This window comes from Homo sapiens, chromosome 21 (genome assembly GCF_000001405.40).
Source record: "Homo sapiens chromosome 21, GRCh38.p14 Primary Assembly".
NCBI lineage: Eukaryota > Metazoa > Chordata > Mammalia > Primates > Hominidae > Homo > Homo sapiens.
This window is the reverse complement of record NC_000021.9, coordinates 25126705-25127502: the sequence shown is the minus strand read 5'-3', so window position 1 is coordinate 25127502 and position 798 is coordinate 25126705. Positions and strand designations below refer to the sequence as shown.

The 798-nt window shown below is 35.6% G+C and overlaps 1 annotated feature.

Moving 5' to 3' along the window:
* Positions 390-559: an enhancer, noted in NCBI's record as "experimental_61844 CRE fragment used in MPRA reporter constructs". NCBI's record gives its function as "activates a minimal promoter by MPRAs in K562 erythroleukemia cells, with activity observed for the non-introgressed 21:26499342 variant allele {active_cell/tissue: K562}" and the evidence as "EXISTENCE:reporter gene assay evidence [ECO:0000049][PMID:34662402]".

The window sequence follows — 798 nt, the reverse complement described above, 5'->3', positions numbered from 1 at the left end:
AGCAGGAGGTTTATCTTAATTCCCTGCATCAGTGCCTGGAAGTATAAAGCAGATATAATATAGATTCTTAAATATGAACATAATCTACAGATTATAGAAGATACAGACCTTTAAAAATATAGATATAATCCTCTGGCATCACCCATCCTCTGGGTGAGGAAATTGTGATTCCAGTTATATATGAATTACTGATAATACCTAAAAGTGCCTATAATCTTGTGGAATTGAAACCAATGTAAGTCATAATTTCCAATGTACTGTTGAGTTAGTGGGATGTGACAGGAAGTAGTGATGTGTTAAGAACCTGTGGGTCTCATTTCTTCATAGTTTAATCAAGTTCCAAGGTAGCTCGAGTGATTGCAGTAGGAGATGTTTGTGTAAGGCCTTGGATTAAATATTCTCCAGCCATTAACCACATTTCTACACCCTGCTTATTGACAGGGGGTTTAATTCAGGATTAATACAAATCTTTTTTTCCTACAGGAAAAGTAAATTGAAATACACATTCAATGGTTGGGATAGGTAAGGTACATCTGCTTGGGTATAAAGAAACACACATTCAAAAGGTTATGACAACTAATGCCCCATTAGAAAGAAAATATATATTATAGCTCATAGTGTCTGCTGTTTATATCCTTTCCCCATGTGCTCTGCAAATCAAATTATATCAGACATCCACAGATGAGTTAAACACTTAAGTGGTTTATTCACGTAAGGCTGAACTTGATAGATTTTCTGTTTTTAATAAAAGTGTTCTGGAACATTCTGAATGGCATTTGGGGCACTGGGATGGCCATG